Source organism: Homo sapiens, chromosome 1 (genome assembly GCF_000001405.40).
Source record: "Homo sapiens chromosome 1, GRCh38.p14 Primary Assembly".
Taxonomy (NCBI): Eukaryota; Metazoa; Chordata; class Mammalia; order Primates; family Hominidae; genus Homo; species Homo sapiens.
The window spans coordinates 5,927,296-5,954,060 of record NC_000001.11 but is presented as its reverse complement, the minus strand read 5'-3'; the positions used below and the strand labels follow the sequence as shown (position 1 = coordinate 5,954,060).

The 26,765-nt window shown below is 47.0% G+C and overlaps 1 protein-coding gene across 32 annotated transcripts in view, besides 3 other annotated features; it reads left to right on the top strand.

Annotated features, from left to right (window-relative positions):
* The window catches only part of NPHP4 (nephrocystin 4), a 129,615-nt gene that overhangs the window by 38,365 nt on the left and 64,485 nt on the right, over positions 1 to 26,765 (top strand). For 29 of the 32 annotated variants that reach the window (NR_111987.2, XR_007058632.1, XM_006710563.4 and 26 more), the window contains 5 exons: positions 1,225 to 1,361; positions 5,810 to 5,991; positions 6,831 to 6,957; positions 20,732 to 20,914; positions 26,274 to 26,412. Coding sequence is in view for 30 of the 32 variants with exons in the window: in XM_006710563.4 (XP_006710626.1) it covers positions 1,225 to 1,361; positions 5,810 to 5,991; positions 6,831 to 6,957; positions 20,732 to 20,914; positions 26,274 to 26,412 (768 nt within the window). In the remaining 2 variants the exon portion in view is untranslated. The remainder of the gene's footprint in view (positions 1 to 1,224; positions 1,362 to 5,809; positions 5,992 to 6,830; positions 6,958 to 20,731; positions 20,915 to 26,273; positions 26,413 to 26,765) is intronic. The other 3 variants (NM_001291593.2, XM_047417607.1, XM_017001001.2) reach the window with 1 other exon arrangement.
* Positions 4,320 to 4,617: a silencer, noted in NCBI's record as "fragment chr1:6009504-6009801 (GRCh37/hg19 assembly coordinates)". NCBI's record gives its function as "represses an EF-1alpha promoter that drives an FKBP-Casp9 reporter gene in an ReSE screen in HepG2 liver carcinoma cells {active_cell/tissue: HepG2}" and the evidence as "EXISTENCE:reporter gene assay evidence [ECO:0000049][PMID:32094911]".
* Positions 9,595 to 10,095: an enhancer, noted in NCBI's record as "H3K4me1 hESC enhancer chr1:6004026-6004526 (GRCh37/hg19 assembly coordinates)". NCBI's record gives its function as "activates a minimal SCP1, AML or CMV promoter by ChIP-STARR-seq in naive H9 embryonic stem cells {active_cell/tissue: H9 hESC(naive)}" and the evidence as "EXISTENCE:reporter gene assay evidence [ECO:0000049][PMID:30033119]".
* Positions 13,970 to 14,470: an enhancer, noted in NCBI's record as "H3K4me1 hESC enhancer chr1:5999651-6000151 (GRCh37/hg19 assembly coordinates)". NCBI's record gives its function as "activates a minimal SCP1, AML or CMV promoter by ChIP-STARR-seq in primed H9 embryonic stem cells {active_cell/tissue: H9 hESC(primed)}" and the evidence as "EXISTENCE:reporter gene assay evidence [ECO:0000049][PMID:30033119]".

Sequence of the window (26,765 nt, the reverse complement as noted above, 5' to 3'; positions counted from 1 at the left end):
AGGCGATACTGACTCATAATCTTCAGCAGGATAGTAGAGTGCTCTTTTGACGGCAGTTTCATCAGCATGGAGTGTTACCTCAGTGTTTTCTTTTTTTTCAACTTTGAAATTAGCTTTTAAAAATCTACATATCTACATAAGTAAAAGATCATTAAAATATAGGAAGAGATGGAGCTAGGACCAGAAGAAGATGACGATGGTGGAGAAAGAAGGGGCAGAGTCCACAGGTGTGTGTAGGTTGGGAAACGGTTGGCTCATCCTTCCTCCTCCTGGATGAGCCTTTGCTCTAGAGCAAGTGGAGAAGGCTCCCCAGGCAGCCCAGGGTCCTTCCCTCTCTCAGCCAAGGTTTTTCATGGGCCTGCTTTGCACGAGACCGTGAGCTGGGTCCCTGGGGCCACTGTCCTCTGGATGGGACCCTTTTCTCGTGGTGCCGTTCAGGCTGTATTTTGCTGGTTGCCTTGACAGGCTCATGCCTGCTCAGTGTGTTTGCAGATGGTTCAAGGTAACACAGTAAAGTAAGGAGCGGCGTGGCTGGCCGTGTTCCTGCTGGAGAGAGGAAGGAAGCCATGCCGGGCAGCAGGCTGCAGGGCCGCACGTGTCACTTTGCCTTCTCCAATCTGTGTTCTTTGAGTTGTCGAATTATAAAAACTGTTCCTGGGCCAGGTGTGGTGGCTCACGCCTGTAATCTCAGCACTTTGGGAGGCCGAGGTAGGCGGATCACAAGGTTAGGAGTTCGAGACCAGCCCGGCCAATATGGTGAAACCCCGCCTCTACTAAAAATACAAAAATTAGCTGGGCGTCATGGTAGTCACCTGTAATCGCAGCTACTTGGGAGGCTGAGGCAGAAGAATGGCTTGAACCTGGAGGCGGAGGTTGCAGTGAGCTGAGATCACACCACTGCACTCCAGCCTGGGCGACAGAACGAGACTCCGTCTCAAAGCAAACAAACAAACAAACAAGCAGAAAAACAAAAAAATGAAAAACAAAACAACAGAAAAACTGTTCCTGGAGGAGGTTTGGGGTAGATTTTGGACTGCCAATGAAATCTGTATTTGCTTAATTGTTGTGGAGGCTTGGCTTGGGCCTTGTGCTCTGTCTGGGAGTCCCGAGCACCCTTCGTTGCTGCAGGCCCCGGCTGAGGCTGGGGTGGGTAGGGACCCTCGGTGGCTGCCAGTGGGTGTTTTATTCCCAAGGATGACCCTTTTCGCACCCTCACTGTTTCAGGCGACGCTCTCCGAAAGCCTCGCCTCCAGAAGCCCATCACGGGGCACTTGGATGACTTATTCTTCACCCTGTACCCCTCCCTGGAGAAGTTTGAGGAAGAGCTGCTGGAGCTCCACGTCCAGGACCACTTCCAGGAGGTGTGGAGTCAGAAGCGTGATGGGGGGCAGGGTGGGGCCAGGCAGGGGTGGGACCCGGGTAGGGCAGGGAGGAGGTGGGGCAGGGTAGGGGTGGGTGGGGCAGGGTAGGGGTGGGTGGGGCAGGGTAGGGGTGGGTGGGGCAGGGGAGACCCCGCATCTGATGCTGCTGAGGAGGGCCCTGTGGCCCTAAGGATGTAGTTCTGTCTTTTCCCCTCTTTCTGGAGGTGAATTGGATCTTTAGGGACCCCTTTCCTCCACAGCCAAGGCCCCCACAGAGCCTCCAGTTGTTTTAACTTCAACAGTGATGAAGGTGCTGTTGGCCTGAGATGTTAACTAAAGTTAATTCTGGTAGATCATGAAATAGTCCTCATTTAAAGTAAACTAAATCACCAGATGAGCATAGGGAAACCCATAGAACCCTTCCCATGTTCAGAGGACGTCGGCGGGGACATGGGGCTCGTTTCCGGAGGTGGCTGGAAGCCTCGGTCATCTCACCCACCTTGGGCCCCTGGGAAGGCGCCCCCAGACTCACTGTCCCCTCGGCCTGCCCGTGTCACAGGTCATTGTGTTCTGGTCACTGAGAGCCTGTTCACACTCCCTGCTGTTCCTGTCTGTTGCTTTTCAGTGTATGGGTTTGTCCAGGTGCCCAGGCAGGGCGTCTGGAGGGCTTGTCCATCTGTTAGGCAGAGGCTTTTGAGCCTGTTTGCCTGTGGCCCCTGGGAGGGATGTCTGCGTCGTGCAGGTGCGTGGAGCTCAGCCTGCCTAGTACGCAGCATGCGCTGGGGTTTCCTCTCCGGCTCCGTCCCAGCGATGCTCTGGCTTGCGAGCTGTAAAACACCAGGGCCAGGGAGGTTGTTTCTAGAGCTCCTGTCACCTCTGACAGCAAAAGTTGTCTTGGATTTTCTGTGTAGAAGCTTGTTTGTATGCCAGACAAGACTTGGAAAAGCCTTTGCAGGTTTGGGGACTGCTTATGTTTTCTAGGCGATAATCTGTCCTTGGTCTAGAAAAATTGGGCCTGATGAACTGTCACAAATAGTGTTGGAATGAGGTCTGTCCGCCCTGGCTCTTCTGTCGCCAGCAGCAGGGGGAACAGGCATGTGGGACGGAGATTGCCTGGTTCTGCTGGAGCCCTGGGCTCAGCCCCCTTGCCTGCGCCTTTGCTGATGATCACCAGATGGAGTAGGGAGAAGAGGGGTCAGCCCTGGCTGCTCTCAACTCTGGAAGGAGGGGCCCTCAGACCTGGGTTGTGGGCAAACCACTCCTTGTTCCCCCTCCTAGAATGAGAGAGTCTTCACTTTCAACTTCAGAAACAAAGAGAAAGAAACTTTAATTGCAGAGAGCCAAGAGACTGGTGTGGGTAACATCTTGCTGTTGCGTCGAGTCCTCTTCACGTCACACCCTTTTCGTGATGAGTCCCGCAGAAGCGCACAGAATGCAATTGTGTGACTGCGCGACACGAGGAAGGACGGCAGAGGGAGGCCTTGGGCCCGGCACCCACAGAGGCACCCTCAGAGCCTCGCGGGTCTCCTCCGGCTGCACCTTCCTCCCCGCCCATTCCCTCGGGCCTTTGTGCTAATCACATCTTGGCTTTCTGTTCTGGTTCTACCGCCTATCGATGCATCTCTAAACAGTATAGGCTTGCCTGCTTTTGACCTATCTTTAAATGAAGTCGTACTTTTTTCTTCTGTTTTGTTTTGCTGCTTTTGCTCAAGACCATGCTCCCGTGGGAGGCTGTCTGCAGTGGCTGTGGCTCCATTTGCTCACTTTTTTTGCTGGATGGTCGTCCGTGTGAGGGCACCAGGATTTATAAATCCATTCTACTGTTGATGGACTTTTGGGCTATTTTCAGGTTGGGGCTGAGCATTCTTCCATGTGTATCCTGACTTTTAGTAGAATCTCGAGCAGGAAGTAAAAGGGACTTTTTTGGAAAATCTTCATGGGCCTGCAATGAGTTGGCTGGTCCGCTGGGGGCTGCTGGTCTAGGATGACTTTGGTTGGGGTGGCGTGGCTCCTGTGGCCTCTCCTGTGGCAGCCAGTCTGGGCTTGCTCTCGTGGAGGCAGATGTTTAAGAGAGGAGTTGGAAATGTGCAGACATTTTCAAACCTCTTTTTGGATTAAATTTGTTACTCTCCCACTGGCCAAAGCAGGTCACTGGCCAAGTCCAGAGTCAGAGAGGTAGGGGACTCCAGGTTACAGGACAAAGGGTATGGCTTTAAAGATCCCTTACCTGGAGCTGCAGATGAATCCTTTACCATGAGGGTTTGGTGGAATTCCCAGGATTTTGCCAACTCGGCCATAGCTCCTGGGGGTGGAGGCGGAGTTGGGCATGGTGCCTGCCCTCCTCCCTTTGAGCTTCAAGGCTTGGGTCCTGCCTTGGTGCCAGGTCCTGAAGGCTGGTGCGGTCTGTTATGCTGCCATCCTTGATTGGTGGCATATTTTGCTCCTTAGGTATTGGGGGAAGGAAATTCTCTGAGGAAGTGTCCCTCATGTTCACTTGAAAGTCCCAGAGAACATTTTTTTCACTCAGTAGTCAAAGAGGTCTTTTAAAAACATAAATTCATTGCTTCTCGGCCTTTTGGGTAAGATGAAGTGTAATTGGACTTTTAGGGACCCTCTCTTAAACTCCTCTCTTAAACATCTGCCTCCATGAGAGCAAGCCCAGACTGGCTGCCACAGGAGAGGCCACATAAATTCAGCCATTTTTCTTCTGTGTTTAAAACCTGCTGCTGGCTTCTCATTGCCCTTGGACTGACACCTAGGCTCCTGGTCCTCCAAGATGCACGTGGTTTGGTCTTTGCCGGTTTCCCCTGCCTCACTATGTGCTGCCTCCTGGTCATGGTTTGGTCTTTGCTGGTTTCCCTACTTCACTGTGTGCTGCTTCCTGGGCCTGTTTTGTGGTCCCGGATTCAGGCATGCCTCTGCCTAGGTGGCCTCGGACTCATGCTTGTCCCTGCATGGGTCCTGGAGCATGTAGCTGACTTTCCTGAATGTTCTTCCTGCACATCTCTGCTTGTTTCCCCTCAGGCTTCAGGTCTGGACGGGGTCCTCTGACTGTCCTGCGGGGGTGCTGTTCCCCGCCCTTGCCACCGTGTCTCCAGCTGTCACCCCGCGTTCCTCCCGGGTGCTCAGCCCTTCCTGGGAGCAGCTGGCCTTCTTATCTGTTATTGTCGGTCTCCTGTGGTGAGTGTCACCAGGACAGGGACTTTGTTTTGTTTACAATGACACGTGATGTGCATGAACGGTGTTTGGCACATAGGAGGGCTGTACTATTTAGTTGTGAGAATGAATGATTCAGGTGCTCATCCTAGTAGTCTATGAAGTTAGCAAGTTGTGTGTGTGTGTGTGTGTGTGTGTGTATGTATGTGAATGAGCTGGACTTGTTTGCTCCCTACCCGTTCTTGAAAATGCAGTTCTACATAATATGGTCTTATGTAAACACAAAGCAGAGAATAGGATTGAAACACCAACATCCGTTTCCTTGGTGTAGTTCCTGCTGTTTTCTTGTTTGTCAGGGCGGATTGTGTGAGGGTAGAGTTGTTTTAGGAATATCATTGTTGAATTTTATACAGTCCCATAAAAATCACTTTATTGTGTATTTTTACTATCTTTGTATTTTTGTTCCAATCCAACTGGCAGATACTCAGTTATCTGCATAGTTTTATTTTCGTTATCCAAAGACTAATAGGCTGAATTTAGGTCTGTTCAGCTTGATTAATGGACAGTAAAGAAAACTTGAAAATTTGAGGATCATTTTGCAAAGATCACATAATTTAATAAACACTAATAGCCAGGGGAATATCCTTGTTCATTTGTTATAGCGCCTGTACATTTTTGTTAAGATGAAACACTTTAATATCGAGTGACCACTTTGGGGCTGGTTCTGTTTTTATTGGTTTATGACTTAGTGCCTAAACATGTTTCCCTTTGTACACCCAGTCTCAGGTCTCTGGGTAGACAGAGTTGAAATGTGATGAGCTCTGCCTCTGAGCACCTCTCCATCGTCGTCCAGGGAATTGGGCCCCAGGGAAGGGGGCTCTGGGGAAGCAGCCTCTGGGAAAGGGGGGCTCTGGGGGAGTGGGCTGTGGGACCTTGGAGGAGTCTTGAAGGAGCCAAGTACGAGTTTGCTGCATCTTGAGAATGGTCAGCCCAGCCTTGGAAAGCTAGTGTCGGGTTTTGGGGATCGAGGCATCTGAGGGTGTGCGTTGCTGAGAGGATCATGCTGTGTTGGAAATGCCAAAACTGCCCGGGCAGTGCCCCAAGGCCAGTGGCTGGGATTGGGTGCTGTATCTGTCATTTGCTTGCACTCATCTTGACTAAGCATCATCTGATCTGCAGTTATCTGCAACTTCTGCTCCAGTTTCTTCTCTCTGCTCGCCTCCCCCAGGGACTTCTGGCGAGCTCCCTCTTTCCGTCTGTGCCGGGGCTCATTCCTTCTGTGCCTCTTCCAGGGATGTGGCCCACTGGACGGTGGTGCCCTGGAGATCCTGGAGCGGCGCCTGCGTGTGGGCGTGCACAATGGTCTGGGCTTCGTGCAGAGGCCGCAGGTCGTTGTACTGGTGCCTGAGATGGATGTGGCCTTGACGCGCTCAGCTAGCTTCAGCAGGAAAGTGGTCTCCTCTTCCAAGACCAGGTATTGTCTCTTGGGTCCCCAGGGATGGGTGGGGATGTGCAAGGGATCACGATGAAATGAGGTCATTTGTGCATGTCAGGTGTTGACTCACCCACGTGGGAGTTCTTCCTTGTGTTTCTTTCCTCTTGGAAGTTGTGCCCATTAGGAACAAACTTTGGAGTTGGAAGTTTGGAAAAAGCCCCCCCCTTTTTTTTTCCTTTTGTGCTCTGACAATTTGGGGGTTAGCATTATGGATGCTTCCAGCTGCGGCTGCTGAGGGTCTACGGAGGCCTTGCATGCTGCCTTCTAGGCGTGCCCTGTGATTAGTTTCTCATAGGACGGAGAGTCAGGGGGCAGCAAGACCTGCTGCTCTGTTTAATCCAGTGCTTCCCAAATCAGGTGTCACAGACATCACTGCAGGGCGTCATGCCTTTCCTCTCTCATGGTGCCAGGCAGAGGCCAGGTGTCCTCTGCCGTAGGCCAGCCTTGAGGAAGGAGCCTCCATCCTCTGTGGCATTTCCTGGTAACTTGGCCGTATCAGGCCTGCAGGCAAGCTTTGGTAATTTGGAAATGCGTTGAAAGAGCAATGAGAGGCTGAGGCGGGAGGATTGCTTGAGCTCAGGAGTTTGAGACCAGTCATGGCAGCCTAGTGAGACCCCCATCTCTTAAAAAGCAGCGTTTTGGGGAATTTCTGAATCATTTGGGAGAGCGTGCAGTGTTACATGGTGGACTTGCTGTTGCAGCAGCACCCCTGTGTCCCCCAGGGTGTCCCCTTGACTGTTCTGACAGTGGTCGACGTGGATGCGGGAAGGATGGGAGCTCGAGCTCTAATGTGTCCCTGGTTTGTGTTTCTGACCCAGCTCCGGGAGCCAAGCTCTGGTTTTGAGAAGCCGCCTCCGCCTCCCAGAGATGGTCGGCCACCCTGCATTTGCGGTCATCTTCCAGCTGGAGTACGTGTTCAGCAGCCCTGCAGGAGTGGACGGCAATGTAAGAACAGCCCTTTTGCACTCGGTTTCCTCTGGTGGTGAACTCTGTGTGTGAGGATAAATGTAGTGGGCATGAATGCTTTTTCCATTAAAAACAGGCATGATTATTATAAATAATAAGTAAAAATCACTTTACTGACATTTATCAGCTGATTGTAAGGAATGTTACAAAGGATACAGATGAGATGGAGAGGGCAAAGAATGTGGGAAGGACTTGGAGCTCCCATGCCCTCCTGGGCACCGCCCTCTGGGCACTTCCATGGGTTCAGCTGTCCAGAGCTCTCTGAAGTCAGTCCTTTTGGGTTTTGATGAAAACTTTATTACGTAGGCATAATTGATTAAACATTGGCCATTGATGATCAATGTAACCTTCAGTCACTCTCCTCCCCCTGCCTTGGTCTTTCTGTGAGCAGCCCCATCCTGAAGCCACCTAGGGGCTACCAGCCACAGTCATCTCATTAGCACACAAAAGATAGCACTTCGGAGATTCCGGGGGTTTCAGGAGTTGTATACCAGGAAACTGGACGAAGATCAAATACATATTTCACAAATCACAGGTGCATTCTGCTGGCTGGGAGTAATGCATAGGTCAGTAAGTTTCATGTATCATAATAGCGTTAATTCATGATTATTGAATCGCTAATTATTTTGAAAAATGAGGCCATTTTAATGTATTTTTATATGACAGTAGTGTGGTAAAGCTTGAGTTTGCACAAATGAGAGATGGTTTCTCATAGGGAACTTTATATATACCTATAGAACACTAAGAGTAAGAATTTATAGGTTCAGTTGAAAGAAATAAAATATGTGGACATCATTTATATTAATGTAGATTCTTTGAGAAACCCAAATCCTGCTGTTCTTAAGATTTAGTTTTCTGTTTGAAAAAGTCAATAATGCAGTTCCGCCTTTTCCATGGGGCGTTTGTTCCAAGACCCCAGTGGGGGCCTGAAACCTCTGTAGTACTGACCCCTACACGGTACATACTAGGTTTTGTCCTGCATATACATACCTATGACACAGTTTATAAATTAGGTACGGTAAGATATTTAACAACAATAACAATAAAATAGAACAATTATAATATACAGTAATAAAAGTGAACGTAGTCTCTCTCTCTCTACCTCTCAACTGCAATGGGTGGGTGGTGTCTACAGTGTGGATATGCGGGACGGAGGGATGATTCACGCCCTGGGGGGGGACAATGCCAGATCTAATCACACTGCTCAGAGTGGCACGCAATTTAGGACTTAGGGATTGTTTTCTTCTGGAGTTTTCTGTTTAATATTTTCAGACCAAGGTTGACTGAGGGTCACTGAAACTGCAGATCGGGGTACTTCTGTATCATTTTAACAAGTAAATCAGAAACCAAAAAACGGTTGACAAGACATCTTCCATGGCGATCTGGCCTGCCATCGCGACTGGGCCGCTCTCTCAGGAACAGCCTGTGAAGGAGCATGAGGTGCTGAGGACGGTCTTAGGGTGTGCCTCAGGCCGGAGAGCAGGGTGTCGGGGTGTAGCTGCCATTTGGTGTTTCTAATCTCTTCTGGTAGCGGCGAGTTGACCTTGCCAGTGTCCATGCCTCCGGTCCCTATGATTCCGAGTCCTAATTAGGTGCAGAAATCCAGAAGTGCCAAGCGTTCTGTGGACTGACACAGTCACAGTCATTTAATGAAACTGTTCCAGTTCTGCTTTTCTTTACTTATGACCAGAAATTTCAGCTAAAATACAGCTGTTTGTGAATACCCTTGGGTGGGAGGGGTCTTCTGGGGTGGGTGTGGCTCATGGGGAGGGATGGGGCTGCCCAGGCTGGGGAGTGAGCGGAGGAGAAATGGCCTCAGGGTGTCCTGGCAGCGCCTGATGGCTGATGTGTGGTTCCCAGGGGCTGTGGGGGGAGGTGGGGAGGAGCAGGAGGGCTGGCGCCTCACTCTCAGTGTCTTCTAGAGAATATTAATTGTAATTTACTTGTGATTATGACATCTGTATGCTGAAACCAAGATGTCTTAGCGATACTTTATTCTTTTTTAACCCTCATCTGAAATTCCTGACAACAGGTGGTTTCGATGGTGGCCGCTTCATGGGCGTCTGGGGTGCGGGTGCGGGTGAGGCTATGGAGTCACTGATTTCTCTTCTCTTCTCTTTTCGAGACAGAGTCTCACTCTGTCGCCCCTCAGTGGCGCGATCTCGGCTCACTGCAACCTCCGCCTCCTGGGTTCAAGTGACTCTCCTGCCTCAGTCTCCTGAGTAGCTGGGACTATAGGCACGGGCCACCATGCCCAGCTAATTTTTGTATTTTTAATAGAGACGGGGTTTTCCCACGTTGGCCAGGCAGGTCTCAGACTTCTGACCTCAAGTGATCTGCCCTCCTTGGCCTCCCAAAGTGCTCAGGTTCCAGACGTGAACCACCGCGCCCGGCCAGTCATTGGTACTTTCCGATGTGCTGGTCGATTGTAACTGGGAATACTGGATTCCACTTTACTGTCATCAAGTGCGCTTTCCTGGGTGAAATCTGGAATGGAAATGTTGCAGTGTGTGAAATGACCTTCCACACAAAAATTGCTTCCTGTGCGGAACCATTGGAAGTGGGTTAAGCATCCACCGGGTGAAACTGGAATTGAGCGGGACGTGAGAGGAGAAAGGCACAATGGCGGGGCCGTCTGTGACGGTGGCTGTGGTAGAGGAGCCCAGCGCGCTCCTTGGAAGGCCCAGGGCGGGCTGTGGCAGGGCCCTCCCACCTCAGCCACCCCGTCTGCAGCAGTGTCTCCCAGAGCAGCCTTCTTCAGCTGGGTGGGGATTTTTTCAGCTGGGTGTGGTTGTGCCTTCCGGCTGCAGCGTCCTCCTCCTTGTCTTTGGTGAGGACCCTGCGTGGTGGAAGCTGTAAGCACAGCTGAAAACAGGCTGGCTGGTGCGATGGGCCCCACGGAGCTTCCCCGGCTGCCAGCTTCCTGGACAATCTGCTTCTTCTATGTCCTCTCCCACAACCCGTTTTGAATTATTCTGAAACAAATTCCAGGCATCATTTTATTTCATCTGTAAACCTTTTGGCATGAACATTTCTTTTTTTTTTAAAAACTTTTTTATTTTGGGAAATTTCAAAGCTAACAGTGGAGAAGCATGTGGTGCGCTCCCTGCACCCACCTCCAACCCCCAATTTATCGCTCATGTCTCATCTCTTTCTCCCGTCCCGTTCCACCTGGGCTATTGGAGACCGCATCCTAGACATTGCATCCTTTCATCTACAGATGGCTCACCATGTCTCTCCAAAAGACAGGGCTCTGGAGTGTCACTGTGAACACCATCATCACACCTAACCTTGACTGCATTTCTTAGTATCATCAAACATCCAGTCAGCCTGGGTGTACATTTTTTAAGTATTTTACTTAATAAGAAACGGACAAACCCCAGCAATGTGCTTTTCCCTGGAAAGTGACTTGTGACAGCCGTCTTCCTGCATGAGCTGGGCGGCCTGTCTGTTGTTCCCTGGCAGTGGCTTCCTCATGTTGCCTTTGACTGGAGGATCTGCTCTCCCTGTGGCCCTGCTGCCTTCATCACACATTCGTAATGCTGGGAGAGCCAAAATGCACCAGGCTTTTGGCAGCTGCTTCACTTGGCCTCATGCATCAGATCAGGAGGCAAAAGCTATGGTGTCTAGGGGCCCTTTGTGGAAGGATTCATCTGTAAATGGTATGCACAGACGAGGAGGCTACCTGGGCTGATGAGAACATGGAACAAATACTGTGTTCAGGGCACACCCAGGCACTGGAGTCTGCATGTATTCTTTGGGTCCTGAGTATTTTGTAGTCATTGGAAACAAACTAGGAACAAAAGTTTTGCCAAGACACACTCACTGACTTTAATCTGCTGTTAATTTTTTTGCATTTTTTAGTTAACCAAAGCATCTAAAACCTTTTTCCTGTAATTTATGTTTGGGTTAGCTGTGAAGAAGCTAAAGAAACTACCAAAGAAGTAGTCCCTCCTGTCCAGACCACTTTCTTCCCAGGATCCTGGGGACAGTGCAACCTCATTTGACTGCCACAGCACTGCCTCTTTTGAAATGTCTTATGCATGCAAGTGTGGGCTCCAGAAATGTTTGCTGACTGAATGAGTGATGGAGCAAACTCCCTGTAACATGAGCATGAAATGCAACAGGGGCAAACCTGCAAAAATCACCAGATCCGGTGTCTTGGCTGCGTTTCATGTCTGAATAAGCGGGCATCCTCCTGAGCCTCTGGGGGTGAATACAGTCCTTTTCTGTGGGTCACATGACAAAATAACCCTCTCCCCAAATCTCTAAGGGGTGAAGATTTGCCTGATTTATTGTTTATGTATTAACTCATATTCTTGGAACAAAATCAATGGCCCATGTTCCAGGGTCTGTTGAACTGATCCATGTGTGTCCCTGATGGCCTTTCCTCCAGTACCGTGTCCAGTTCAGGATCATGTCTTGTGTCTGGTTTCTGTGTCTCTTTGACCTCCTTAATTCTGGAACAGTTCCTCAGCTTTTTTTTTTTTTTTTTGTCATTTATGATTTTATTTTTAATATTTTAGTCTCCTTTTTTTTTTTTTTTTTTTTTGAGATGGAGTCTCGCTCTGTTGCCCAGGCTGGAGTGCAGTGGCGCGACCTCGGCTCACTGCAACCTCCGCCTCCTGAGTTCAAGCGATTCTCCTGCCTCAGCCTCCTGAGTAGCTGGGACTACAGGTGCCTGCCACCACGCCCGGCTAATTTTTTGTATTTTTAGTAGAGATGGGGTTTTACCATGTTAGCCAGGATGGTCTCGATATCCTGACCTTGTGATCCACCCGCCTTGGCCTTCCAAAGTGCTGGGATTACAGGCATGAGCCACTGTGCATGGCCTAGTCTCCCTTCTTTAAAAAATTTTTAATGCGTATGTTGCTTGGGTTCATCTGATGCTTCCTCATAGTTGGAGTCAGGTTGTGCCTTCCTGGTAGTGGTCCGTGTGAGCAAGGGGCAGTCCTTGGGTCCCACATCCAGACGTGCATGTGTTCATCCTGGGCGAGGTTGGTTGTGGTGATCTTTGCTGATATCTCCACTGTAGAGTTACCTTTTTTCCTCCATGCAGCTAATAAGTGATCTGTGGGGAGACTCTGAGACCACGTGGGTATCTGCTCCTCATCCGATTGTCCCCCTTGGGTTGGCGTCGTTTATGCTTCCTGCAGGAGGAGGAGCCCCAGCCCAGCTTTCCCACAGACCTGCAGCTGGCATGGCACCTCCTGTCCCCAGGGCCCCCTGTCTCCTCACTGGTGGGTAGATGGTTGACTTGTCCATCAAGCGCACATGGGTCTGGACTCAGGGATCCCTGTTTTCAAAGTCACTGCTTCTGATTATTTTGGTACAAATTGTCCCAGATTTGGCCGGATGGAGTCCTTGAGGCTGGCCCCTGTGTCCTATGGCATCCTTCGTCCTGTTTTGTGTTTGAGTACTTTCTGGCTTCAGAAGATGCTTCAGGCTCATCTTCATCTCTACTTATTTTGCCCATTTTTCTGTAGTTTTTGCATTTTTCATCAAATATTAAAAGTTCTTTGTATGTTAAGGATATTTGCTCTTTATCTGTGATAAATAGTGCAGATATTTTCTCCTCATTTTGTCATTTATCTTTTTATTTTTTTTCCTGGCTGTGTAAACATTAAAACATCTTTTAATGTAGTCAGATATATAAGTTCTTTCTTTTATTGTATCTGGATTTTGAGTCAGGGAAAAAGCCTTTCTTCGTTCCCCAGTCATAGAGGAATTCACCCATATTTTCTCCTCGTGCAATGTTTCTCCTGCCCTTTTTTTTTTTTTTTTTTTTTTTTTGTCTAGATCTCTTGTTTGTGGTGTGAGGGATGGATCTGATTTTATCTTTTCCCAGTGGCCATCTGGTCCCACTACCACTTACTCAGAAGTCCCCCTTTGCCATGGTGACTTAATGTGCTGTCTTTATCACATACTCTGTCTTTATGGATAGTGCATCTGTTTTTGGACTTTTACTCTCATGGGCTGCCCTGTCTGTTAATGTACCATGGCCATACTGTTTTAATTTTGGAGGCTCTGTTGTGTGTTTTAGCATTTGGTAAGGCAAGTTCAGCTTTATGGTTCTTCTTTTCCTTGCTTTTCTAGCTTTTCTTGCATGTTTATTTTCTGGATTAACTTTTGTATCAAGAGGTCTAGCTCCAAAAAATGCTGATTGGCATTTTAAAAATTGGGATTGCAGTAAATTTATGATTGAATTTAGAGAGAATTTTACATCTCAAGGATGTTTAGTTGCCCTAACCAAGAACAGGATGTCTTTCCATTTGTTCAAGTCTATTTTTGTGTCTTTCAGGAATGATTTTAAAAATGGTTTTAAAATGTAGATTTTTAACAATTCTTATTAAATTTTTTCATGGGTATTTAATTTTTTGTGCTGCTGTTGTAAATGGGATGTTTTCTTTCATTATATTGTCTGAATTAGCACTGTGTTTTTATTTTGTTTTTGTAGACAGTCATTATTATTTAAGCAATTTTACTAGCATTTTATGTAGCTCTTATTATATACCGCATGCTGTCTTTAAAATTAAGCTTTGTATTTTGAGGTAATTGTAGATTCATATTGCAGTTATGAAGAGTAAAGCGGGGAGATTTGTGTCCCCTTTCCCTGGTTGCTCCTGTCTGAGTCTGTTTTCTGCTGCTGTAACTGAATACCACAGACTGGGTCATTTATAGTGAATAGAATTTATTGGCTCATGCATGGTTCTGGAGGATGGGGAGTCCAAGATCAAGGTGCCAGCATCTTGTGAGGGCCTTCTTGTTACGTCACTCCCTAGCGAAAGGGCAAAGAGAGGGTGAGCAAGAGAAAGGGGGGCTGAACTCGTCCTTGTAGAAGAGGCCCATTCCCGAGACAATGGCATTCATCCATTCACTCCACCCTCATGGCCTCACCACCTCTCATGAGGCTCCACCTCCCAGCCCTGGTTTGTTGGGGATTAAATTTCCAACACATGCCTTTTGGGGGACATGTTAAAATTATAGCACCCCAAATGTTACACTATCTTTTGATGAGCGGTAGTTCTGATTTTAAGTCTAGCTGGCCTACTTTTTCTTGCACGTGGGATGCTTTCTGCCTGTTCCAGGGCAGGCAGCTCTTCTCTGTCCCTCTGCTGGCCCCACCTCATCCTCTGTTGTCCTCTTCCCTCCTTCTGTGCCCTGGGGTCCTGGTGGGGGTGTGACTGTCAACTGCGTTGGGCTAACTTTTTTCCCTGCTGGTGGCCCGTAATGAAAGAAAGCTTCTTGCTCCCAAGTTCCTTAAATCCAAGCTCATAGACAACGCGGTCTCACAGCAGGCCTGGGGCCAGCCTCACGTGAGCCCCTTCCCTGGTGTAGTCACTGGCATGGGGGAATGGGATTTCCTGTTGCCCTACTGTGTGGCTGAGGTGGGGGTTGCTTCCTGGAGCCAGGCCTTGTGGAAGGGCAGTGCCCACTGCAGTGGATGCTGGGCCCTGAATCTGACCCCAGTGTTCATTGGCTCTGTGAGACCCAGTGAGGGCAGGGAGGGAAGTGGAGCTGGGGTGAGAAGTAGAGGCCCTGCAGGGCCCACGTGCCAGCCACCAGGCCTCAGACTAGGCTCAGATGACGGAGAGCTGCACACCTGCCCAACCCAGGCCCTGCAGTGCCCACATGCCAGCCGCTGGGGCCCAGACTTGCTCCAGAGGGCGGAGAGCTTTACACCGGCCCAACCCAGGCCATGGCTCCAAATGCGTGACAGTTTTGCTGTTGCTTCTTTTAGTCATTGTCAAGTTGATGCTTGTTTTGCAGAGGACCAAGGCTTTATGAACCTATTACCCTGTGTGAAGAGTTTCACCAGGTTATGGAAATTTCTTTAAAACCATACCACAGTTTTTTCATTATTCATGTATATTTTTAAAAATAATTACTGCACTCAGTAGAATAACATGAAAATGTTGCCTGTTAGCCCTTTTCCAGTTTGCCCCGAGAATACTGGGGGCACTTGTGGCTGCAATGTTTATCCTGCGGCAGCTTTGCCATGAAGTATCTCACTTTTATTATTATTTTTGCATTGCTCGAGTATATTGACTTTGGAAACAAAAGACATCATTCTATTTATAGCATTATGTTTTTAGTAGTGGTATTTCCATATACAAGATACAGTAATTTTCCGTCAATGAAAATGTCAAATTCTAGAAAATGTAACATTCCTATGCGTGGTGTTAACATCGTTCTCTAACAGTTGTTGGCCGAAGATTCGTTTGATGAATCCGATTTTTCCAAAATAGCCGATTCTGATGATTCAGACGATTCTGATGTTCTGTTTAGAAATAATTCCAAGAACAGTTTTTACATTTTATTTTCACATTGAAAATCAGTCAGATTTGCTTCAGCCTCAAAGAGCACGTTTATGTAAAATTAAATGAGTGCTGGCAGCCAGCTGCGCTTTGTTTTTCTAAATGGGAAAAGGGTTAAATTTCACTCAGCTTTTAAATGACAGCGCACAGCCTGTGTCATAGAGGGTTGGAGGAGATGACTTTAACTGCCTGTGGTTAGGATTCCTTTCCCCCAGGAATGTCTGGGAGCCACTGCCGGGTTTGCTGTCCGTCTCGTTTGGACTCAGTTCTGCATGTACTGGATCCGATTTGAGGACTGAGTAGCTTCTGGTTGATGGCATCTGGCTTGTGAACCTCCGCTGTTGCTGGCAGTGGCTGTGCTGCTGTTGTGACCTCTGGGCTCCTGGTTCTTCCTGCTGCTCAGCCAGGAGGTAGAGGCACCAACGCCAGCCTGGCTGCCTGCCACCCCCAGCTCTTCACCTGGTGGGGCTCAGTCTCTCTGGCCTTGTGAAGTTCGCCTCAAGGGCCAAGAGCTCCGTGTCCTTCAGGGAGAATGCCGGCCAGCGAGCGAGCCATCGGGAAGGACTTGCCCTCAGCCCGTGCCCTGAGCTCTGAGTTCCGGAGCCACCCGCCGCTTGTGTGCCCCACCTGTCATGCTGCTGGGGGACACCAGGCTCCACCTCCAAGGATGCTCCTGGGTCTGTGCCACCCGCCGTGTGCGGCTGGTTGCTCTGTTTCCTGCGCCTGTATGGTGGTCATTTCACAGGGTGGGAGCTGGTGCACAGGGTGGATGGTGCCTGCGAGGGGTCAGCCCTGTCCCTGCTGTGGCTCTCACACCACGTGAGTGTGACTGCGCGTGTTCCCAGCCCAGGGCCTGAGCTGCTTTCCTCACACTTATCTTAGGCCTCCCTGTCTCCTTCGTCTGCATAATTATAGACCTACATTTCTCTCTCTTTTTTCTTTATGTCCTCTGTGATTTGTGTGATACTAGGAACATTCAGAGATGTTTTGACGCAGTAGTTTGTCTTTTTAAAATTTGTCCTCAGCCAAGTGCCACATGTCACCTCCATCGAGGTGGCAGTTCCCCTGGGCCCAGCTCTCTATCTGGATAAGGCCTTGAGACAGTGGAGCGTGAGTGCGCTGCTTGGCGGGGACCCCACCCTGTCATTACCCAGAGAACGGCCGCCATCCCCTTCACTGTGCATTCCCAGTTCCTGGGGCTGGAGGTCCCAGCAGAACTGGGCCCAGGGCCAGAGGCTGGGTGCCTAGGCAAGAGTGAAAAGGTCTCACTGAAAATCTAAACAAAATGAAGCTCGTGAAGTAATGTGATGTTTTCACCTTCGTCTAAGTAAGTTCAGGTTGATCTGAGGACAGAAGCCATCAAGGGCCTGTATGACTTTCCAGTGGCTTCTGTAACAAAGTGTCACACCCTCCACAGCTCAAAGCAGCGGAAATGTGTGCTCTCACAGCTCTGAGGCCACAGGTCCACAATCTGCTCTGCTGGCAAACCCCAGGTGTGGTAGGGCTAAGTTTCTCCCCAGGAAACCCCAGGTGTGGTGGGGCCCAGCTCCTCCCCAGGAAACCCCTGGTGTGACAGAGCCGAGATCCTCCTCAGGCAAAGCTCAGGTGTGGCGGGCCGAGCTCCTTCCGAGGAAACCCCAGGTGTGGCAGGACTGAGTTCCTCCGGAGGTTCTGTGGGATGGGGCCTCCCTGCCTCTTGTGGGTTTTGGGGCTCCTAGCTGTCCTTGGCCTGTGGCCATATCACTCCGTTCTCCGCCCCCTCGTCATGTGGCCTCTTCTCTGTGTCTCCCTCTGTGTCTGTCTCTCTCTCCCCTGCTCCTACAGGGATGCTTGCCATTGGAGTTAGGGCCAGTCTAGATAATGAAGGATTATCTCATCCCACAACACTGTAACTAATCACATCCACAGAGACCCTTGTTTCCAACAAAGCCACAGCCACAGGTTCCGGGGATTAGGCTGAGAGCATCTTTTTGGAGGACACATTGAGCCCGCCACAGGGACTCTGGTTTGTAGCATTTCCAGAGGCCAAGGGCCTGTTTTCTGTGAGCGGCTTTGCGTGGTAAATGCAAGTGTGGCACTTCTGTTCCACAACAAAACCTGACTCATAATCCAAGTGTATTCCTCATTTGTCTTTTGTGTATTGTGTATTTTGTCTTTTGTGTATTTGTACTTGTGTATTTGGTGCTGTTATACTTAAAAAGTCTAAATGGGAGCAATTCGGTGTATTTGGGGCTTTTTTTTTCTTTTCAGTTTGTGTGAATTCAAACCCAAGTTGGGCAGGAAAAGGAATGATGAAGTAGTGGATGTCATCTCAAGCACTAGGATCCACTGGCTGTAGGAGCGTGTTAGACTCACTGTGACTCTGCTTGTGCTTGGCCTTCTCTGCAGAGCCAGGTGGTTTTCGGGCAGTTCCTGTCTGCCGGTCCCTCTGTGGGCTGGCAGTGAGCAAGTGTGGGCAAATACATGGCGACTGGCTTCCCACCAGGCCCCCATTCGCCTGTTGAGGTCTCAGAAAGAATGATCAATAATTGGCTACACAGATTTTTTGTTGTTGTTATTAAAGCTGTTAAACAGAAAAGTGAGGAAAAATGCATGTTTATGTAACTGACAGATACTTTGCACAGAGGAGATCATCTACTGATGGAGAACCAAAAAGAACTGTGAAATTGGAAAATTAGATATTGGAATCCCCTAAGTGGAAAATTAGAAGTTGTATAGATAGCATGAAAACGTAGATACATATTTTACTTTATTTTGTTTTTGATCCTGTAATAATACACTTCTGTATTTTATAATGATAACTGTTTACAAAAGTAGTCTAGACATTGTTGAATCCTTATAGTGACAAGTTTTCCTAATACATTTATAGTAATTTGATTTTTTTGTTGTTGAGATGGAGTCTCACTCTGTCGCCCAGGCTGGAGTGCAGTGGTGTGATCTTGGCTCCCTGCAACCTCCACCTTCTAGGTTCAAGCGATTCTCCTGCCTCAGCCTCCCGAGTAGCTGGGATTACAGGTGCCTACAACCATGCCCAGCTGATTTTTGTATTTTTACTAAAGATGGGGTTTCACCATGTCAGCCAGGGTGGTCTTGAACTCCTGACCTCAGGTGATCCACCCGCCTCGACCTCCCAAAGTGCTGGGATTACAGGCGTGAGCCACCGTGCCTGGCTGTAATTTGATTTTTAAAAAGCAGTGGAGTTATAATCACCATGTCGTTGGTATGCTATAGTTGCTCAGCACTGTTTTATAATCTGTTGTCAGCTAACTGGATGGGGAACAGGAAGACATTGTTTTTGTATTTGGCAAATGTTGAAAGTGTGGCTTAGAGTCATATGCTTCCATTTCTTACTTTTCTGATTCTATGTCCTTCCATGGTGTGGGTGTTTTCTCATTGAATTGCCAGGGACCACCCAAATCCCCGCTCACCCTGTGACGGGGGCGTGAATGTGGCAGTAACCTGGCCCATGATCTGGAATTTAGCTGCAGCAAAGGGCTCTGCAGAAGTGGATGGTTTGAAGTCCGATTGTGATGGGAAAAGAGATTAATGTGAAACAAGATGCCGATTCTAAATTTTTATTAGGATATAACAGGATGGGATATCATCTGGCAGGAACAGTCTGGAAGAGGCTAACTTGGAAGAAACAAGAACTGTTTTCTTTTCTGTATTCACATCTGCTTGTATATGAAGTTGGCTGTGGTTTAGCCCAGTAGAGACCATGGGGCCATCTGTGTCCGGATTTTAGAGGCCTTGAGAGCACGCATGCATGCGGGGATCTGTGTGGGACCTGAGTGCAGTCTGGGCAGTGACACTGGTGTGGCTGTTCCCCACTGGCATGTCCAGCCAAATAAGCAAAGTCCCTTAGGACCCCTGGCCACCACCACTGGAGTCTTGCCTCCTCCTTCGCTCCCAGGGCAGCGCAAATTCCTGGATCCTCTGGGTGTCTCTGTTCCTGGTGGATGCTGTGCTCCACCCATCCTAGGCAGGGCATGGGCGTCCATTCGTCACCAAGAGTGGGACGCGTCCTCCTTCCGGGCCACCTCCTCGCTGTGACCATGGCTGCGCTTGCGATGCTGCCTGGGTTCATGCCCTCAGGCAGCAGTGTTAAGAGGGATGCCCTTGGCTGCCTTAGCCAAGCCCGGGACTGGGAGCAGTGGGGAGCCACCCCATTTTACTTTTGTCACCCCTGAAGGGTGCAGCTGTCTCTGTTAGCCAGGGCTGGGGGGAAGCCGTAGCAAGTGGAGCACTGTAGGAAGTGGAGCACTGTGCTCATGGTCCAGTCACCACCTCCTGCTTGGGGGTTGTTTCTCCTGCGCATGGGACACAGAGGCTGGAAGTCCCAGGTGGAAGTGGACAGCTGCTCCTCCTTCCTCTGGGCTGTTCCGGTGGCTCTGGTCTAGGCAGCGCTCCGCAGCACTTACTGATCAGTGCAGCTGTGATCTTAGGAGTGGAAAGAGCTCTAACTGGGGCTCCTGGTCGGACCCGCTGTTGCCTGTACCCCATGGGCCTCTGGCTAATCGGCTTCCTGGTGACTTAAGTGTGCTCCACCCACCAGGGGAGCCTGCAGGATCTGCAGGCAGGGCCTTGGTTCAGAGCTGATCACCTCTGGAGTCCTCTTCAACAAGGTGGCTCTGCTGGACTTTGGGGTCCAAAAAAGACCGGGGTTTAGCTTTAGTCCTACTTCTTTTTAAGTAAATGGATGAAAGTTGGTAATTTTAAAACTCTTTACTCAGTCAAGCCGTGAAACCGTGTTTGTGACAATGACTTTAATGTGGTTGTAACCCAAGGGATTGGTTTTCACAGTGTCCTCATTCCTTCCATTTGGCCAGCCAGAGAGAAGCAGAAAGAAGGAACAATGCCTGGAATTTGACCCGATCGATTTCCCAATTTCCTGAAAGCTACAGATACGAAATGTGCTATTGTAAGCTGGAGCTTTGTGGAGAAAATGTGTGCTAATAATGCTGAGTTGAATATACATGTGCATTCTTCGTTATTTTACCAAATTTCTGATTAGGAATTCAAAGTGCTGTTCCTAGTATTTTCCTGACGGATTTGAGTTGGTGTTGGCAAGGTGCAGAGTGTTTACAAACCTATGGAAAGATCCTTATGGGAACAGGGGTTCATAAAACAGTGCTGGTCTCTAAGGGGGAAGCCATCACTACCTTGGGCCAGAAAAGGAGACTCATGGGTGGGCAGGGGTCCTGACTGGGTCGGTGGGGTCATGTAACTGAAGACTATCTGTGCCCTACTGTCTGCACTGTGGATGCCATGTCCTCCTCCTGCCCTAGTTCCTTTTATAAAATGCAACTGATGATCCCTGCCCCTTGCTACACTGAGCTCTCGTTGAATTTTACACATGAAAGCACTGTTGATTTCCCCTCTCCAGGTGACTTCTGTGATAACTCATACACCGATGTGCTTTGTTTTAATTCTAGGCAGCTTCGGTCACCTCTCTGTCCAACCTGGCATGCATGCACATGGTCCGCTGGGCTGTTTGGAACCCCTTGCTGGAAGCTGATTCTGGAAGGGTGACCCTGCCTCTGCAGGGTGGGATCCAGCCCAACCCCTCGCACTGTCTGGTCTACAAGGTACCCTCAGCCAGCATGAGCTCTGAAGAGGTAAATTATTAGGTATTTCTTATGCATCTCCGGTGAGCTTCTAGCAAGTTCATTCATTTTCAAAAGCAAAAGTTCACAAATATGTTTGCAGATGTTTCATTTACAGAATTTTTTTCATGTCATGGGTATGCCTTTAGAAAGATTAGTATGATGTTTTTATGTAAACCTGATAAGACCAGTTTTATCATGGGTTTTATTGCTGTTCACATACTGATTTCCTGGGATGACTTGGTGAACCTCCAGCTGATGTGTACACACTTTGCAGCAAGATTCACCTGTGTGGCGTGCACGTTTGGAGCATTGGAGCTTGGGCCTCATGTGGCCTTTACCAGTAGGTTTTTTGGTGGATGAGTGCTGAGGTGGGAGCCGGTTCTGGTTTCTAGCCCTGGCTTATCTTTGTGACTTATCACTAATGCTTGTTGGACCTTGGGTGTGTACCAAGGGGTAGGACCACAGCAGAGATTCTCAGGTTTTTTTTTTTTTTTTAATTCTGAAATGAAATGTTCTCTGCACCCCAATTAAGACGGCAAAAACAAGTAGAGCGAAGTGGGTTGAAGTGTGTATGAGGGTCTCATCCCCAGCCTCCTTGGCCCCATTGGCGGTGTTGGAGGATGGTTAGCGGTGACCCAGGGCACCACAGACAGTGCGAAACCCTGCTCTGGCAGATGGCTAGAGTCCGTTGGGCTCTCCGAGGTGTGGCAGAGTTTCTGCTCGGCTGCAGTGTTTGGTGAGATTTTAAAGGTATATAGATGTAATATTTAGAATATTACCTAAACTTAGTTGATAAAGCAATGGCAAGGTTTGAGAAGATTGACTATGATTTTGAAAGTTCTGCCTATGGTAAAATACTGTCAAATAGCATTGCATGGTACTCTTTTATGACATGAAAAGTCAATTGATGGAGCAAACTTGCATTGTGGTCTTGTTTTATGAAAGCTCTGCAGGCATCCCAACCTTCAGCAACCACTACTCTGATTAGGCAGCAGCCATCAATATCAAGGCACAACCCTCCACTAGCAAAAAGATTACAATGTTCTGGAAGGCTTAGATGATCCTTAGCATTTTTTTTTTTTTGAGACAGGGTCTTACTCTGTTGCCCTGGCTGGAGTGCGTGGCACGATCATAGTTCACTGCAGCCTTGAACTCCTATGCTCCAGCAATCCTCACACCTCAGTGTCCTGAGTAGCTAGGACTACAGGCATGTGCCACCATGCCTGGGTAATTTTTTAATTTTTGTAGAGTTGAGGTCTTGCTGTGTTTCCTGGGATCATCTTGAGCTCCTGGGTTCAAGGGATCCTCCTACCTTGGCCTCCCAGAGTGTTGGGATTATAGGCGTGAGTCACCATACCTATAATGGCACAATGGTTAGCATTTTTTTAGCAAGAAAGTTTTTTTTTTTTTTTTTTTTTTTTTGAGATGAAGTCCTGCTCTGTAACCCAGGCTGGAGTGCAGTGGCGCAGTCTCAGCTCACTGCAACCTCCATCTCCCAGGTTCACGCGATTCTTCTGGCTCAGCCTCCCAAGTAGCTGGGATTATAGGTGCCCACCACCATGCCTGGCTAATTTTTATATTTTTAGTAGAGATGGGGTTTCATCATGTTGGCCAGGCTGGTCTTGAACTCCTGACCTTAGGTGATCTGTGTGCCTCTCAAAGTGCTGGGATTGCAGATGTGAGTCACTGCACCCGGCCAGCAATAAAGTATTTTTAAATTAAGGTAGGTACAGTACTTTTTTTTTTTTTTTTTTAGACATATGCTATTACACACCTATTGACTACAGTATAGTATAAATACAACTTTTAAATGCACTGGGAAACCAAAAAATTCAGTGACTTGCTTTATTGTAGTGGTTTGGAACTGAACCTGTAGTATCTTTGAGGTATGCCTATAATTACATTACGTGTAAATAGTGTAAACACACCAGTTTAAAAGATATTGTCAGGCTTAATGAAAGACAAAGCCCAACTATATACTGTCTATAAGAAGTATACTTTAAATAAATATAACGTAAATTAAAAGAATGGAAAATATTCTTTTCAAACACTAAAAGAAAACTGGAGTGGGTATATTACTATTGACACTATCAGACAAACTAGACTTCAGAATACAGGAAATTTCCAGGAATTAAGAGAGATAGTACACATGATAAAAGGGTCAGTTGCCAAGACATAACAATCCTAAAATTGCTTGCATCTAACATAGAGCTTCAAAATACATGAAGCAAAAACTGATTGAACTGAAAGGAGAAATGGACAAATCCACAATTAGAGTTGGAGACTTCAGCATCCTCTCTAAGTAAACAAAGAACAACTAGCTATTCCATCAGCAATGATACAGAAGGACTGAACATCGCCATCGACCAACTGGATCGGAATGATATTTATAGAGCACTCTCCCCAACAACAGCAGGATACACGTTGTTTACAAGTGCACATGGAACATTCATCAAGATAGACAATATCCTTGGTCATAAAACAAACTTCAGTTTTAAGAGAGTTGAGATTATACAGGATGTATTCTCAGATTATAATGGAATTGAACTAGAAATCAATAACAAAGATAATAAAAATTTTCAACCACTTGGAAATTAAACAATATGTAAAAATCCATAAAGTAAAGAGTAAATCTCAAGGGAAAATAGAAGATATTGTGAACTTAACAGATATGGAAATACAACATGTCAAAGTTCGTAGGATGCAGCTCAAATATGCTTAGCGTTAGGTGCTTATATTAGAACAGAAAAAAGATCTTAATTCAGTGATCTGATCTTTGTCTTCAGAAACTAGAAAAAGAAGAGTAAAATAAACCCAAAGCTATTCAGAAGTCAATAACAGCAGAAACCAATGAAATTGAAAACAAAAACAATAGATTAAAAATTAAAAAATAGCAAAAACCCAGTGAAACAAGAACCTGTTTGAAAATATCAGTAAAACTGATGAACTTCTAGCAAGACTGAAAAAGAAGGGAGGACACAAATGACTAATATTAGGAATGAAAGAAGGAATATCAGTACAGACCTCACGGGTATTAAAAGGATAATAAGGGAATACTACAAACAATTCTCTGCACATAAATTTGACAATTTAGGTGAAATGGATGAATGAATATGAAACTCCACATTGCCAAAACTCAGCCAAGATGAAGTAGATGACCTGAGTAGTCCTATAACTAATATGTAAGTTGAATTCATAGTTTAAAAACTTTTGAAAAAGAAATATTCAGGCCTATTCACTATGAATTCTATTAGACATGTGAAGAAGAAATAATGCCACTTTTATATAATCTATTTCAGAAAACAGAAAAGATGGGAGCAATTCCCAACTCATGAAATGAAGCCAGCATTACCCTGATATCAAAACCAGAAAAATAATATTAATAATAACAAGAAAACAGAACTGTGGACCCGTATCCTTCATAAACATAGGTGCAAAATACTCAACAAAATATTAGCAGATTGAGTCCAGCAATACGCAAAAAGAATAATACACTATAGCCAAGTGGAGCTTTATCCAGAGAATGCAAGTCTGTTTTCTATTTGGAAATCAATAAATGTAATTCATTATAGTAACAGCCTAAAGAAGGAAAACCATATGATCCTGGCAATTGATACTGAAAAAACATTTGACGATATTCAGCATCAGTTTATGATTAAAAACTGAGCAAACTAGCAATAAAAGAAAACTTCCTTAGCATAATCAGTGATGTTTACAAAAACTCTTTAGTTAACATCATACTTAATGGTGAAAGACTGATTGCTTTCCCCCTAAGATTAGGAACAAGTAAAGGATGTCCACTGTTAGCATTCAACGTCATGTTCAGTATTGCACTGGAAGTTGTAGTCAGTGCTGTAAGTCAAGAAAACAAAAGACCTACACATTAGAAGGAAGAAACAAAACTGTCCTTATTTGCAGAAAACGTGATTGTCTATGCCAAAGATTCTGAGGAGTCTACAAAAAAGTCCTTTTAGAATGAGTAAGTGGGTTTAGTGAGGTTGCAGGATAACACAGGAAGTCAACATGAAAAATCAATCCTATTTCTGTATACTAGCACTGAAAAATTGAAAGCAAAATACAGAAACAGTATTGTTTACAAAGCCTGCCCTCCATGAACTAAATCTAACAAAATAGTTAGGGGATCTGTATGCTGAAAACAATAAAACTGTCCTTTTGCTAGTTGTCATTGTGGTTATTCTTAGGTGAAATCAAAGAAGACCTAAATAATTGGAGAGACGTAACATGTTTATGTCTTGGGAAACTCAACATAGTAAAGCTGTCAGTTCTGCCCAAGATTGATCTAGAGATTTTATGCAGTTTCAGTCAAAATCTCAGCAGGATTTTTTTGGCGATATAGACAAGCTGATTCTGAAATTTATATGGAAAGCTAAAGGAATTAGAAGAGTCAAAATAGTTTTGAAAAAAGAACAGTAAAGTTGGAGGAATCATACTACACAGTTTAAACACTTACTGTACAGCTACACTGATTAATATAATTAGTATCAAGGAATTCAGTTAATGGAACAGACTAGAGAGTCCAGAAATAAAGTTTGGAAGTGCCTTATGAAATTAAATATGCCATATGACCCAGCAGTCCTACTCTTGGAGAAATGAAACCTGTATTCACACAAACATATGTGTTTGTAGCAGGTCTGTTTATAATCACCCAAACCAGAAACTACCCAAATGTTTGTGAGTGAATGGATAAATAAACTGGTACATCCGTACAATAGAATATCACTCAGTAATAAAAAAAGAAACAGTTTGATGTGTATGTAACAACTTGGATGAATCTCCTCAGTCTTATGCTAAATGAAAGAAGCTGGTCTCAAAAGTTATACATTATGTGATTCCATGTGTTGGACATTTTTTTGACATTCTCAAAAAGACGAAATGACAGTGCTGGGGAAGCAGTCATAGATTGCCCGGGTTAGGCATGGGCTGGGTGTGGCTGCAGAGGGGCAGGGCAGGGCAAGGGAGCACCCTGGGGGGATGGGGCTGGCCTGCACCCTGGGTGTGGTGCTGGTTATGTGAATCTGTGCATGTGCCAAAACCCACAGAGCCATACCCAGAATAAAGATGTCAGTTTCACATAGGTCAATGACAACATTCACAACTCGAGAGAGATTGCGATTTCTGCTTGGGTAAGGGTCATTCCATGATCATATGGTCTGCAGGGCTTTTAATGCCACACCAATTGCTTTTTGCTCAAACTACTTGATTATAATCTGAGAACATGTGGCATCAAGAAGCCTCTGATTTCACGTAGACTTTGTTTTAGGGCAGAGCCTGCTGTTCCTGGTTGGATCGTTCTGATAGGCGTGCTGATGAAGGGAGTGGCCATCACTGCTCTTCTGGTCCATTGCAGGTGAAGCAGGTGGAGTCGGGTACACTCCGGTTCCAGTTCTCGCTGGGCTCAGAAGAACACCTGGATGCACCCACGGAGCCTGTCAGTGGCCCCAAAGTGGAGCGGCGGCCTTCCAGGAAACCACCCACGTCCCCTTCGAGTAAGTGTTTCCAGAGAGCTGACTGGCCAGGCACATGGCAGGCAGCACTTCCATCTCTTCCCGGGGAAAGGTACTTAGTCTAGTACGGTAATCACCACATTTGTAAGATAATCGTCGTAGATTGCATTAATGGAATCTGTTAGTTGGGTTTTTGCTTAATACCAAGGTGTAGAATTGGACAGTGATGAAGTGTGGCCCAGAAGCTTGTGCTTCAGCCCAGAGTCAGCTCAGTTACTTGACAGCTCCCCAACTAAGCATTTAAAAGGACACGTCACATGGATGCCCTGCAAATGTGGGACCCGAGAGTTAGAGGGTGGTCGAGAGCCGAGGACCGCCACCTTGCGTTTGCACTG